Consider the following 15,248-nt stretch of genomic DNA (forward strand, 5'->3'; position numbering starts at 1 on the left):
TACAAAATATTAAATGAAAACATTAGTGCAATGTCTCAACAAATAGATGTTATAAATAAAGAAATAGAAATTATAAAAAAGAACAAAATAGAAATTCTGGGGTTACAAAGTACAATAACTGAAATTAGAAAGAAGTTCTCTAGATGTGTTCAATAGCAGATATAAGTAGACAGAAAAAAGAATCAGTGAACCTGAAGATAGGACAACTGGGATTATTCATTCTAAAGTGGAGAAAGAAGAAAGAATTAAAAAACAAAGACTCAAAGAAATGTCAGGCATTATCACATGTACCAACAAACACGTAATGTGGGTATCAAAAGGAGAAAAGTGACAAAGAGGGGAAGAAAGAATATTTCAAGAAGTGATAGCCATATTTGGCCAAAACATTGCACCTCCAAGACACAATGAATTCCAACTGTAATAATCTCCCCAAATTTAGCATAAACCCTTTAGAATCACTTTTTTTTTTTTTGAGATGGGGTTGCATTTTGTCACCCAGGCTGGAGTACAGTAGTGTGATCATAGCTCACTGCTGCCTCAAATTCCTGGGATCAAGGGATCCTCCTGCCTCAGCCTCCCAAGTAGCTAGCACAGGTGTGCACCACCACACACGGCTAATTTTTTCATTTTTTTGTAGAGATAGGGGTCTCATTATCTTGTCCAGGCTGATCTTGAGCCCTTGGACTCAAGCAATCCTCTGACCTCAGCCTCCCAAAGTGCTGGGATTACAGGCATGTGCCACTGCACTCGGCCCAAACTTTTAGAAAGCCAAACACACGGACAGAATCATGAAGGCATCAAGAGAAAAGTGACTCATCAGACAAGAGATTCTCAATAAAACTAATAGCTGACTACTTATCATAAACCATGGAGCTCAGAAAGCAGTGGGATGATATACTCAAAATGCTGAAAAAGATTTGTAAACCAAGAATAGTTCAACCATCCCTCACAAATGAAGAATACATTAAAACATTTCCAGGAAGCAAAAACAAATAACCTGGAGTCAATAGACCTTCCCCACAGGGTGTAATATAGGAAGTCTTTCAGGCTGAATAAAATAATAGTAGACAGTGCTGTAGACTCCAAATCACAGGAAGAATAAAGAACACCAGTAAAGGTAACTACATAGATTTTTTTTTTCTACATGTCCAGTCTAAAAGATAATTGCATAAAGCAATCATTAAGAAGCTGTGTTGATGGACTTATGATATAAAACAATCTAATTTTTATGACAATAATAGCATAAAGCAGAGAATAGGAAACACAGCTATATTAGACCAAAGTTTTTGTATATTTTTGAAATTTAGTATTTAAAAACAAAATTTGGGCCAGTCGCGGTGGCTCACACCTGTAATCCTAGCACTTTGGGAGGCCGAGGTGGGAGGATCATGAGGTTAGGAGATCGGGACCATCCTGGCCAACACGGTGAAATCCCGTCTCCACTAAAAATACAAAATATTAGCTGGGCGTGGTAGCGGGCGCCTATAGTCCCAGCTACCAGGGAAGCTGAGGCAGGAGAATCACGTGAACCCAGGAGGCGGAGCTTGCAGTGAGCGGAGATCGCACCACTACACTCCAGCCTGGGCGACGGAGCGAGACTCAGTCTCAAAAAAAAAAAAAAAAAAAAAAAAAAGTAAAATTTAGTAATCCAAGCCAGAATGTTTTCTGTTAAGATGTTACGTGTAATCATCAGGACTATAACTAAGAAAACAACACAAAAACAAAAAGTAAAAGACATAACAAGGGAATTAAAGTTTAGACCAGCAAATATCTATTTAATGCAAAAGATTTCGTAATTGTATAAGAGAGGGAAAAAAAGGCTTAAGACATTTAGAAAACAAAGAGCAAAATGGCTGACAGAAGTCCAGTCTATCAGTAATTACATTGTATGTGAATGTGTTAAACACTTCAACAAAAGGACTGAAAATAACAAAATTGACTAAAAACAAAATATATGATTTCACTGTATGCTTTCTAGAGAAACACCTGATAGATTCGAATACATTAACAGGTTCAAAGTGAAAGGATGAAAAACGATACACCATGAAAATAATAACGATAACAACAAGAAAAGTTGGAAGGGCTCTAATAATATGTGACAAAATACACATTAAGACAAAAAAATTTACTGGAGATAAAAAGGACACTTTCCAATGAGAAACTGATTAATCTATTAGGAAGCACATCAATTATAATAGTGTATGAAACTAACCACAACAATAAAATAAATCAAATAAAGTCTGACAGAATTGAAAGGAGAAATATATAATTCAACAGTAGTTAGAGATGTCATTACCCCACTCGAATAAAGATGCAACAACTAGACAGAAGAGGTACAAAGAAATAGAATAGTAAAAAAGGCTAAATCATGCAAATCTAATAAAAGTAACTTCACCTTGCAAATACAGGATGCATGTTCTTTAACTTTCACAAGAAACATTATTCAGGATAAATCATGTATTAGGCCATAGAGTAAATTTTAATGCATGTAAACAGATTAAAATGATACAAAGTATGTTGTCAGGCCAAAATACAATCAAAATAAAAATTAATAAAAAAGGCAATTTGCAAAACTTACAAATGTGTGGAAATTGAACATTATACTTCTAAATGAGTGGGTTAAATGCAAAGTCTTCAGGGATATCAGCAAATACTTTGAGACCATATAAAAAGAAAACACAATATTGAAACATATAGAATGCAACTAAAGCAGTGCTTAGAGAAAAATTATAGCTGTAAATGCTTATATTCTAAAAGGAGAAAAATCTCAAATTGATAGCTCAACTTTCCATCTTAAGAAACTAGCAAAAGTAGAGAAAACTTAATGAAAATTAAGCTGAAGCAACAATGTAATTAAATTAGAACAAAAACAAAATAAATGAATAAAAATAGAAAAATGAAATCAAGTTTTGTTATTTAAAAAATAAACAAAAATGATAAACTTTCATTTATATTGGCAAAAAAGAGATGAAACTTTCATATTACTAAAATAGAGATGAAAATGGTGACATTCCACTGACTGTATGGAATTTTTTTTAAAAAAGGATTGTAATCAACACTAAAAAAATTTGAATTAAACTAATTTGATAACGTAGATGAAATTGACTAATTTCTAGGAACATAAAAACTACCAAAACTGACTCAGCTAAAAAAGTATAAAATCTGACTAGATTTATACCATGTAGTGATGTTAAATTAGTAGCTACAAAAATTTCTCAGGCACACAAAGTGCAGGTCCAGGAGGTTCTATTGTGAATCCTACCAAACAAATAAAGAACAATTAACTCCAATTCTTCACAAACACTTCCAGAAAACAAAAAGGCAACGGCAACCAAAATAACATGGTACTGCTTGGTACCAAAGCATACATATAGACCAATGGAACAGAACGGAGACCTCAGAAATTACACATCTACAGCCATCTGATCTTCGACAAACTTGACAAAAACAAGTAATGGGGAAAGGATCTCCTATTCAATAAATGGTGCTGGGAAAACTGGCTAGCCATATGCAGAAAACTGAAACTGGATCTCTTCCTTACACTTTATACAAAAATTAACTCAAGGTGGATTAAAGACTTAAATGTAAAACCCAAAACCATCAAAACCCTAGAAGAAAACTTAGGTAATATCATTCAGGACATAGGCATGGGCAAAGACTTCATGACAAAAACGCCAAAAGCAATTGCAACAAAAGCCAAAATTGACAAATGGGATCTAATTAAACTAAAGAGCTTCTGCACAGCAAAAGAAACTATCATCAGAGTGAACAGGCAACCTACAGAATGGGAAAAAATTCTTGTAATCTATCAATGTGACAAAGGTCTAATATCTAGAATTCACAAGGAACTTGAACAAATTTAAAAGAAAAAAACAACCGCATCAAAAATTGGGTGAAGGATATAAACAGACACTTCTCAAAAGGACATTTTAATAAATCTGTTAAAAAGTTAGTAGAACTAAAAAGTGAGTTTAGCAAGGTCCCAGGTTACAAGGTCCATATACAAAATCAACTATATCAACTACCTTAGACAAATCAAATAGAAAAAAAATCTCAAACAAAAACATACAAATTGAAATAAAAATGCAATTTCATTTATAATAGCATCTCTGGGAATAAAATATCTAGAAATAATGTATAAAAATATGTGCAAGACCTGTACACTGAAAACTACAAAACTTCTTGTAAAAAAATTAAAAAGCCTATGTGACTTGAGAAAAATATTCATAAGTTGAAACATGCAAAATTTTAAAGATGTTGATTTATTCTAAATTCATCAACAGATAAAACAAATCCAATCAAAATTACATCATGTTTTAAACTGACAAGCTGATTCTCAAATATATGTGGAAGTGTGAATGGCCCATAACCACCAGTAAAATATTAAAGTGAAAAAGCAAACTTAAAGAATTTATATGATCTAGTTTTAGTTCTAAGTATAAAGCATTTTTACATTAAAACAGTGTGGTGAAGGATTCACATATACATAAGTAAAATGGAATAAAGTTCCCAAAAATAGACCTATACATATAAGGTCAGTTTATTTTCTATTAAGCTGTGAAAGCATTTCAATGAGAAAAGGAGTGTCTTTTCAACCAATTGTGCTGGAATAACTGGATAGTCACATAAAGAAACTAAAAATTTACCTTATATCACTTCATCTCAAACCTTCATAGGCTTAAATGTAAATGCTAAGCTTATATAACTAGTGGAATAAATACCTGTGAACTTGGGTTAAACGAAGACTTTGATAAGACACAAAAAGCAAAATCTACAAAAGACAAAAAGATAAGTCAAACTTTATCCAAATTATGACTTTTGTTCCTTACAGGACACAATAAAAAATAAAGCTACAAATATATGTATACATAAATTTGTGTCCTGAATGAAAAAAATAAAAAGACAAGCTTCTATAACTCAATAGTAAGGCAAAAAGCCTAATAAAAATGGACAAAATCTTTTCTGACAAACACTTCACTAGAAGAGATGTATGAATGACCAATAAGCACCTAAAAAGGATGCACATCATTCCACATTGGAATGCCACTATGTGTAGTAGCTAAAATAAAATACTGACATACTAAGTGGTGGTGAAGAAAACGTGGAGCAACTGGTGCTCTCATACCTTTTGGTGAATAGGAAAGTTTTGGGCAGTTTCTAAAAAATTTAAATACACACTTATTACATAACCAAGTCATTCAAGTCATAGGTTTGTCACCAAAGGAAATAAAAATAAATGTTCATACATAAACCTGTGTTCACATTTTTGTAGCTATTTTTCATAAAATCACCAAATTAGAAATAAGTCAGATGCCAATGACTTTGAAATGGATAAACAAAATGTAGTATATCCATACAGTTGAATACTAATCAGCAATAAAATAAAACAAATTACTGACTCACACTACAACATAGATAAAACTTAAAATAATTAATAGAAAGTATCCAGGCCCAGAAGTCTATACAATGTATTATACCACTTATATGAATTCTAGAAATTTGAACTATTCATCATGGCAACAACAGATCATCCTTCACTTGAGGAGGATGTTGGAGGGATGCATGGACTAAGGGGCACAGGAACTTTGGGGATGAAGGAAATGTGTCTTTTAATTGTTGCTGCCATTTAGTGACTGACTATAACTGTCAAAACTTATGAAATTGTATACTTTAAAAGGATGCTGTTTCTTGTGCAAAAATGATATCCTAATAGAGTTAATTAAAACAGTAAAAGAAACTGGTAATCTGTGCCTCATTCAATGTCAAAGTTGCTATGAACCTTGTTTGCTGCATGCTTTGCTGTTTCCCTCTGTTGCTGGGAGGTTTCTACTGTGTTACTCCTACATCTCCGATTCAGAGAAATGGCGTTTGAGGAGTTTCACCTCAGGAACAAATCCAAAGAGCTTCATCTGCAGTTGTTTTGTTCTTCTCCTGGTATAATAAGTGTTTCTAATAAAAAACAATGAACAAATATTAATAAGCAATCAATTAGTGAAAGAACATCACGATGAAACATGGAGTGGCCCTGGCCCATGGAAGTCATCCTTTTTGGAGCAGAGTGCATTAAGCCTAGGACTTGAAGGTGTATAGGATTTGAACAATTGAAGGACACGGAAAGATCTAGACAATGGTGACAAAGGGAAAAAGCAGAACTCGAACTAATGTGCTGGGAAGTAAATAGCAGATTGCTTGAGGAAGAATAAATTTGATAAGCTCATCTGCATCTCAACCTAATTTTGATGAGAAGATCCTTGGTCTTGGCCTCAGCCTCAGCCTGCTGTTGCTGCAGGCAGTGGAGAGATGCAAAGCACTAGCTACCCCATCACTCCTCAGAACCAGGGGAAAGCATAAAGGATTTGCACTATTCCAAGCCCCTCAGCATTTCTGAGTGTATTGACATGCACCAGTAGATAACTGGAAGACACTCTTCTGTACAGACTGCTCTACGTCTCTCCTCTCCTTTACCATGACAGTTTAATCAAAGAGCCATTTCTGTATTTTCTGTTTCCATTTTCTCCTATTTGTTTACTCTCAACTCTTCTCAAATGCATTCCTGTCCCATCATTGCACTGAAACCCTCTTAACTGAGATCAACAATCACTTTTTATCAAATAAGACATATTTTTAATTTCGTTAGTATTTTAGCTTTCCATAACATTAGGCAATATCGACGTTTTATTCTTTCTTGAGACACCCTTCCCTTGGCCTCTATGTCATAATCTGTCACAGTTTTTAAATTTGCTGTAGCTGCTCCTTTTCATATGACCCCGCTATCTCTTCCTTCCTACAAGACATTTAGATATCAGTTTTTTAACTTTCGGCCTCAAGCCCTCTTCTCTTCTTGCACTATACTCTATCCATCCACAGCCATGCTTTCAATTACCATGTATAAGTGACTTCAGGCCACTCCACTGAGGTCCAGATCTATTTAGCAGCTGCTTTTCCAATATCTATACTATCTGTCTCAAATACATGTCATAGTCAACATGCTCAGGAATAAAGTCATGCTCTATTTCCTCAATAATTACTTTTTCTTGTGATCCCCAATTTCATAATTGCATCTATTTGGTTTTGCTAGCCAGAAATTTAGAAGTCATTTTAAACATTTATTTGGCCTCCTCTTTCACATTGTACCAGCACCAAGTTTCAGTAACTTTTTTCTGTTTCTGTCTACATCACCCTACTCCAGTTTTTCTCCACTGGAGCACTATTAGCATCTTGGGAGAAGATTCATTTGTTGTAGGCGACTATCTTCTGCAATGCAGCACATTTAGTGTCTCGGCTGTCGCTTAATAAATGCTGTTAGATTTTGTATCCACTGTGACATCCAAAATTCCCACACTCATTTGTAAACGTCCCTGGAGGAGTGAGCACCTTTCTTCTGATTGAGAACTGTTGTCTTGTCCAAGTTGCTGACATTTCTTGCATGCATTTAAATAGCCATTTGTGTCTTCCCTTGGTCATTTCCCCAACTCTGTGCTAGTCTTCTCCCTACACTGTAGCACTGATAGTTTCAAAGGTTAAAACTGATAATATCACCAATAAAATCCTACCTGCTTAAAAATTCTTCCACTGTTGCCAATTGTCATTAGGATAAAGATCTCTGGCCCAGGATGGGTGTCCACTGATGCCATCTGTGAGGCAACACACTGAACAATTTCCCTTCCTTGACCACACTAATGCTCCATCTTTCATGGAACTTTCACATGCAGATATGTTTCTTCTCCCTGAAACATGCGTTCCTCCCCCTGTGACTAGATTACCGTTAAATATTTTATATCTCAGCTTATTACCTCCTCAAGAAGGCTTTTCTAATTCCATAGTTTAAATACTTCCATAAAGCCATGTTTTATTTTTCTTTAGAGCAATTATTTCAGTTACTTATTTTATAGTCATTGTGATTACTAAATTATTAAATTTTAATTTCCATAGAAATAGGGATCATGTCTATTTTTCTTCACCAATTTTATTCTTAGTCCCTATCTTGTTGTCCCTTAGCCCCTACCTCACTGATGCTGACCAAATGTTTATGGAAAGAAATCAATATGTATTTGTAGGAAAGGTAGACCACCTCGAGTTCCTTTCATGATTGTCATTGTACAGTCAGTATTTCTCAGGCAATTGAGAAATTGCCTCAATTCCCTCTATTTCTCAATATTTCCATTGAGAAATAGAAGATTAGTTGAAACATCTCTTAGAGGAATCTCACAATGTAAATATCATATGTATTGAAATGTAGAAAAAGTAGATGAAAGGAGAAAAAACAGTGGGTGTGTCAAGGATAGTTTTTGAAAATTATACTTGTTCTAATTTGATTGACTAGCAGCTAAAAAAGGGTATTTCACACTCAAGTGACCAAAACCTATAACTCATGCTCTAAGAATTTAGGCTAAACTGAATAGAAGCTTGTTTCCACTGTGTGTTAGTATATTTAATCTGTAGGTGGAGATGTTCTTTCATGCCGAGGTAAGAGCATATCATAGAGATATGTGTTTTGATTTGATTATCACGTGCCGATTCTTCCGTGAAATGGTATATAAGGCTCTCAGTAAGGCAGCTGGGGACCTGCAATGTGCAGGAAAGAGATGTATTCCTCACTTTGTTCCTGAGGCTGAATATAAAGACATCTTCATTCTCTAAACATTATTAGCAAGTTACTAAAGGAAGCAAACATAGCTATAGAACCAGATGGATGTTTACATAAAATAAATACAGAGCTTTAAAAATGTACACATAAAACAATTACTAGCTCAGAGAAATGTAACAGTGAAAAGTAAGCTCCTGAGCCTAGTGGGTTTAATTAAGACCGTGTTTCCTGAACCTAGGGGCTTCAGGATCACTGGGTTGGCAGAGGAGGGACGGAAGGAAGAGAAAAGGGAAATATTTTGATGAATAGGATTTCAGTTAAATTGGAGCAGTACTTAGGGCTTCATTTCGATAAACACAAATAAAGGGGGATTTTAAAACATGCCAGTAGATCATTGTTAATATCCCTTCAAGGATTCCATAAATCTGTAGAGATGGATAACAGTGTTTGGAAATTATGAAGAAGAAAACTTTTCATTTGCATCTGGATTTATGATATGAAATTTTCTTCCTATTCCTTCTTTACTGGGGTGTGTGTGTTAGTCTTATTGTGACTATAGATGCTGGTGCAACAAAAATACCCTAATTACTGCTGATTTTTAGAAGGAATGTTAATTTATTTTACCATTGTCACTGGGGTGGAATTGAAGAAATTATGGGTAATTAGTTAATTAACCATATAATTGGCTATATTGGAAATAATATTGTATGCTTTAATTATAGAAAGTTTAGGCAAATACGTTAGTTGGGAATACAAATTTATAAATAGCTGCTGAAAATGTAAGTATGAAAGAATACAAACTCATACAATCTATATGCAACATACTTCATGCAGCTTTGTGAACAATTATTGTTAGCTTAGATCAGGTATCTGATTGTTAAGTCCTGACAGGTTGAATTATATATGCTGTAGGATATGTCTTGTTTCATCTCAATCTTCCTTTCCAAATTTCTGAGAGCTGCTTTCACAAATAGGGATTCCCCTGTTCCCAATCCAATGACTGCACTACTAGCTTCCTGCATCCCTTGTTTTTATTTTTTTATCACCATGCTAGGTATGGCTGTGCCTAATAGGCTCTGACTTTTCTGCTGACTCCATGAGACACTTTCAGTGTAAATTTGACCTTAAATGATTTTTGGCAAAGGTGAGACCCTGATGCCACTCTATCTCTGAATCTTAGAGACAGTTGAGAATTTTGCTCACTGAATTTGTTTTTGTTCATAGATTCTCTGCTCATTCTTCTATTCCTTTGTTTACTTATTCAATAAACATTTGCTTGGTGTCCACTGTGCACCTATAGTGTGCTCTAGTCCCTTCCCTTAAGGAGGTTATATTCTTTGTGTGTACTGTGAAACGCAGTGTGTGCAGGTGTGATGTGTGTAGGTGTGTGTGTGTTGGTGATTCTGTGTTTGTATGGGTAAGAGTACAGTGCTCAGACATACACAGCACATTGCAGTTGAGTGTGATCTTTTACAGAATTATAGGAAAATGGTGCTGGGGCAGCATTCTGAGGTGGGCACAGACCTATGTTTTGGAGAAACCTAGAAAGTGCATAGAGAGGACTTCATGGAAGAAGCAAAGCTTGAGGAGAACTCAGGCAGACACATAGGGTAGCCTGGGCTGGAGGGCAGGGGGAGAGGCATGAACGTATGTTACCTTTGAAGAGTTGGAAGCCGTTCAGCACAACTTGGAGACACGAGTCACTCCTTACTGGAGAGGTTATTGGGTGGAAAGATGAACATGAGATAGACAAATCAACTTTAAAAATTTTCTCTTTACTGGCAAATGGTGATTGCTTATGCACTATATGTCAAGCACCATGCTAAGCATTTGGGTCCCTTGTCAGAACAACACAGTGCCCACCCTCTAGTGGTGATGTCAAATCTCCTCATACACGATACAAATATTAGGAATTTATCATGTCGGCCATGGGAACTATTGAAGAATTTTTAACCTTTGTATGATTTAATCAGGATTATATTTTAATAATACAGAGGGGGCCTACTCTAGCAGTATGGGAAAGGAAATGGGAGAAACATATCTAGAACCAGAAGACCATTTTCAGAAGGTACTTCCAAGTTCTTGTTGGGAAATAAAGAAGTAATGGCAGCAATGCTCAAGGGAAGAGGGGACTAAGAGGCCTAAGAGTTTGGATTGACAAGACTTGGTTGAAGTGGAACCATCCATAATTCATATCTATGTACATGTGTATAACACCGATCTCTCTAGCAATCAGTTTGGGATGATTTGGGTAGGGAGTGCATTTGGGCAACAAATATATTAATTAATTATTTAACTCAACAAATATTTATGGAGCATTAAATATGTGTCAAGAACTTCAGGAAGCTGAGGCAGGAGAATCGCTAGAACCTGGGAGGTGGAGGTTACACGGAGCTGAGATCACACCACTGCACTCCAGCCTGGGCAACAGAGTGAGATTCCAAAAAAAAAAAGAAAGCAAGCAAAGCAAAGCAAAGCAAAGCAAAGCAAAGCAAAGCAAAGCAAAGCAAGAAAGAAAGAGAAAGAAAGAAAGAAAGAAAAATGCTCTAAGCTCTGGAGACACAGCAATGAAAATAAAAATGGCCTACTTACCTTACAGGAGGAATAAAAACAAGTGAAGACAGTGTCAGTGGGTAAGTGCCGTTACAGAAAACAAAGAGAGGTGAATGCCACAGCAAGTGCCAAGGGCTGGAGGAACAGCTATTGTATACCAGGTGACTGGCGAGGAAAGGCCATTTAGTAAGACAGCATCTGATTATGTACTTGGAAAAAAAATGAGAATCACTACACGGGGAGCAGAGGAAGGTGGAAAACTGAGTGATAAGGACTCAAGATGAGAGTGGAAGCCAGAAAGGATACCATGGGCCTGGCAGGAGTGAGAAAAGAGGCCGGTGGAGGAGAGGCGTTCAGAGAGTAGCAGGGCCTGTATCCACTATTGGGAAGACTGGGTCTTCCTGAGTGCCTGAGTCAGACTTGGGGGATTCTGAACGGAGCAGTGACATGATCTGGCATTTCAAAGGGACTCCTGTGGCTGCTGTGTAGAGAAGAGATGATGGGTGTGCAAGAGGAGAGGGAAGCACTGAGTGGAGCAGATGTTGCTGTTTTCCAGGCGACAGGTTATGATGGTTTTGACCCAGGAGGGCAAGGTGGCCCTGAAGGTTCATATCATGAATGTTTTAAAGTAGGACCAACAGAATTTTCTGAAGGATTGGATGTAGAATATTAGCAAGGAATCAAAGAAAAACATCAAAATTTTTTCCTGATTGTTCAGGTCAGAGAGGAAGAAGTTGCCATTTACTAACATTAGAAAGATATGAGAGTGTTAATGCTGGGGAATTTTGTTGCAGTCATTGATACGTTCAAGTACAGGAAGCTGGGGTGGCTTGGGGGGTAGTAAGTAGTACTCTGGTGGTTGGTGACATGCAGTCTGCGAATATATGGAAGGGGATACCCAGTCTGGGTGGAGGCATTAGCATTAGACCAAAGCTCGCACCTCTGCCTCTGAAGAAGTGGAACTGAGCAAAAAACAACAGGGCTGCAAGTAAAACCGGAGAGTGACTGAAAAAGTTCATACGATACCATCCATATCTCCTTGAAGTCCTAAGCAAAATTATCTTCTCACATTAGAGACTAGAATATCTTAAAATGCTTGAGAACTAATGAAACTTTCAAATAAAAGAGAAAAGCAGAAGAAAGCAAGACTTGGAGCTTGTCAGAGGCCCTGTGAGGGAATGTGGAGTTGGGTAGATATCCTGTTTGATGGAAGGCCCTGTGGTCGTAGACACAGCCATGAGCTGGGCCACTACAGAAAGGAGCAAGAAAACAAATTCAAGTGGTGGTGCTCCTGGAGCGTCCTGTGGTGCTCCCCTGGTGCTCCTGTGGTGCTCCCATGGTGCTCCTATGGGCCCACAGCTGCAGCAGGCCAAAGCTGGAGACTGGGACAGGCGAGCAGTGGAATGGGCCAATTCTGAGGTCTCTGGTGCTCCAGCTTTGGTGTGGCAGGAGTGGGGCTGACAGACTGAGGAAAGGGAGGGGTTCCAAGTTGGGTGAGGGGAGCACCTGCATCCAAGAGCAGGAGGCTGGAGGAGGGGACGGTAGACTGACTGCAAGAGCTGTGGGTTCACCATGCACACCCTCCTGTGTTCTGGCCTGATCTGCCTGGAGTTCTATTATGAAGTCTTCACAATTCCTTCCCTCTCCACTCCCGTACTCCCCTCCCCTTTCCTCTTCTCACCTTTTCCCTTTTTTTTTTTTGGGGGGGGGGTTTAAATTAACCAGAATATGTTTCTGCAATTTGTGATTTAGTTTTCTGACTAGCAAACTGTTGAAATGTTTTAGAAATATACTTTATTTTTTAGAATGGTTCACGGCAAATTGAGGAGAAGATAAAGGGTTCCCATCTACCCTGTCCCCACACGTAGATAGCCCTGCCACTATCAACATCATCCAGCAGTGTGGCATGTTTGTTACAACTGACGAACCTATTGACACCTTATTGTCACCCAACGTCTGTAGTTTATATGAGGGTTACTCTTGATGTTGTACATTCTATGGGTTTGGAAAAATGTATAATGACACATATCTATCATTATGGTATCACACAGAGTAGTTTCACTTCCCTAGAAATTCTCTGTGCTCTAGCTATTCATCTTAAAAGTTTTTATGGCTTTATGTTCCTCTCAGATAAAATATCAAATTAGAGGAAAATCTGAGGTCCTTTTGTGGTGTGGCCTCTGCTTCCCTCTTGATGGAAGGACCTGTGGTCATAGAGACAGCCCTGAGCTGGGGGCACGATCGGCTGCCTGCTCCTCTCCTCTCCCCAGCAGGCTACAAGAATCCTGAGGACTTTCAGAAGCACAAAGCCATCTTAATCTTCTCACACTCAGGCCACTGAAAACGCTGAGGCCAAACCTCTAAAAGCCATCTGATCTCACTTAGGAGATGAAAAGTGCTATTTTGTTCTTGTTGGACTCAAAAGCTAACTGCCAAGGGACTATGGGAATGGAATTTCATTATTGTTTAGAAAAAAATATGAATATTGACTTAGGAAAATTAGAAGATGTTTTTTACTCTCATTCAAATTATCGTAGGAAAGGGAAAATTATCATTTTATTTATTTTATTTTATTTCAATAGTTTTTGGAGAACAGGTGGCGTTTAGTTACATAGATATGTTATTTAGTGGTGATTTCTGAGATTTGATGGCACTCATCTCCCAAGCAGTGTACATTTACCTAATGTGTAGCCTTTTATCCCTCACCCACCTCCCGCCTTTGCCGGAGCGTCCCCAAAGTCCATTACATCATTCTTATGCCTTTGCATCCTCATAACTTAGCTTCCACTTATAAATGAGAACAAATGATATTTGGTTTTTTATTCCTGAGTTACTTCACTTAGAATGATCATCTGCAACTCCATCCGTGTTGCTGGGAATGCCATTATTTCATTCCTTTTCAAGGCTGAATACTATTTCATGCTGTACACATATCACATTTTCTTTATCCACTCATTGGTTTATGGGCATTTAGGCTGGTTCCATAGTTTTGCAATTGTGAATTGTGCTGCTATAAACATCCATATGCAAGACTCTTTTTAATATAATAGCTTCTTTTCCCTTGGGTAGGCACCCAGTAGTGGGATTGCTGGATAGAATGGTGGTTCTACTGTTAGTTCTTTAAATAATTTCCACGTTGTTTTCTATAGTGTTTTGTACTAGTTTACATTCCCACTGGCAGTGCAAAACTGTTCCCTTTTCACTACATCCACACTAACATCTGTTATTTATTTTTTAATTATGGACATTCTTACAGGAGTAAGGTGGTATCTCATTTTGGTTTTTATTTGCATTTCCCTGATAATTAGTGATGTTCAGCATTTTTCATATGTTTGTTGGCCATTTGTATATCTTCTCTGAGAATTTTCTATTCATGTCTTTTGCCCACTTTTTGATGGGATATATTTTTTTCTTGCTGATTTGTTTGAGTTCTTTATAGATTCTGGATATTAGTCCTTTGTCAGATGCATAGATTGTGAAGATTTTCTCCCATTCTGTGAGTTGTCTGTTTACTCTGCTGATTATTTCTTTTGCTGTGCAAAAGCTTGTTAATTTAGTTAAATCCCATCTATTTATCTTTGTTTTTGTTGCATTTGCTTTTGAGTTCCTGGTCATGCACGCTTTTCCTAAGCCAACGTCTAGAGGAGTTTTTTTTTTTTTGATGTTATCTTCTAGAATTTTTATAGTTTCAGATCTTAGATTTAAGTCTTTTATCCCCCTTGAGTTGATTTTTGCATAAGGTGAGAGATGAGGATCGTTTCATTCTTCTACTTGGGGCTAGCCAATTATCCCAGAAACATTTGTTGATTAGGGCATTCTTTCCCCACTTTGTGTTTTTGTTTGCTTGTTGAAGATCAGTTGGCTGTAAGTATTTGGCTTTATTTCTGGGTTCTCTATTCTGTTCCACTGGTCAACATGACATTTTTATACCAGTATCATGCTGTTTTGGTAACTATAACCTTGTAGTATAGTTTGAAGTAAGGTAATGTGATGCCTTCAGTTTTGTTCTTTTTACTTTGTCTTGCTTTGACTATGCAGGCTCTTCTTTGGTTCCCTGTGAATTTTAGGATTGTTTTTTCTAGTTCTGTGAAGAATGATGATGGCATTT

The 15,248-nt window shown here is 37.0% G+C and overlaps 2 annotated features.

The window, feature by feature from the left end:
• Nucleotides 11,849–11,928: an enhancer, noted in NCBI's record as "active region_27335". NCBI's record gives its function as "activates an Ori minimal core promoter by ATAC-STARR-seq in GM12878 lymphoblastoid cells {active_cell/tissue: GM12878}" and the evidence as "EXISTENCE:reporter gene assay evidence [ECO:0000049][PMID:35858748]".
• Nucleotides 13,238–13,307: an enhancer, noted in NCBI's record as "active region_27336". NCBI's record gives its function as "activates an Ori minimal core promoter by ATAC-STARR-seq in GM12878 lymphoblastoid cells {active_cell/tissue: GM12878}" and the evidence as "EXISTENCE:reporter gene assay evidence [ECO:0000049][PMID:35858748]".

The sequence above is a fragment of the Homo sapiens genome, chromosome 8 (genome assembly GCF_000001405.40).
Source record: "Homo sapiens chromosome 8, GRCh38.p14 Primary Assembly".
NCBI classification, from domain to species: Eukaryota; Metazoa; Chordata; class Mammalia; order Primates; family Hominidae; genus Homo; species Homo sapiens.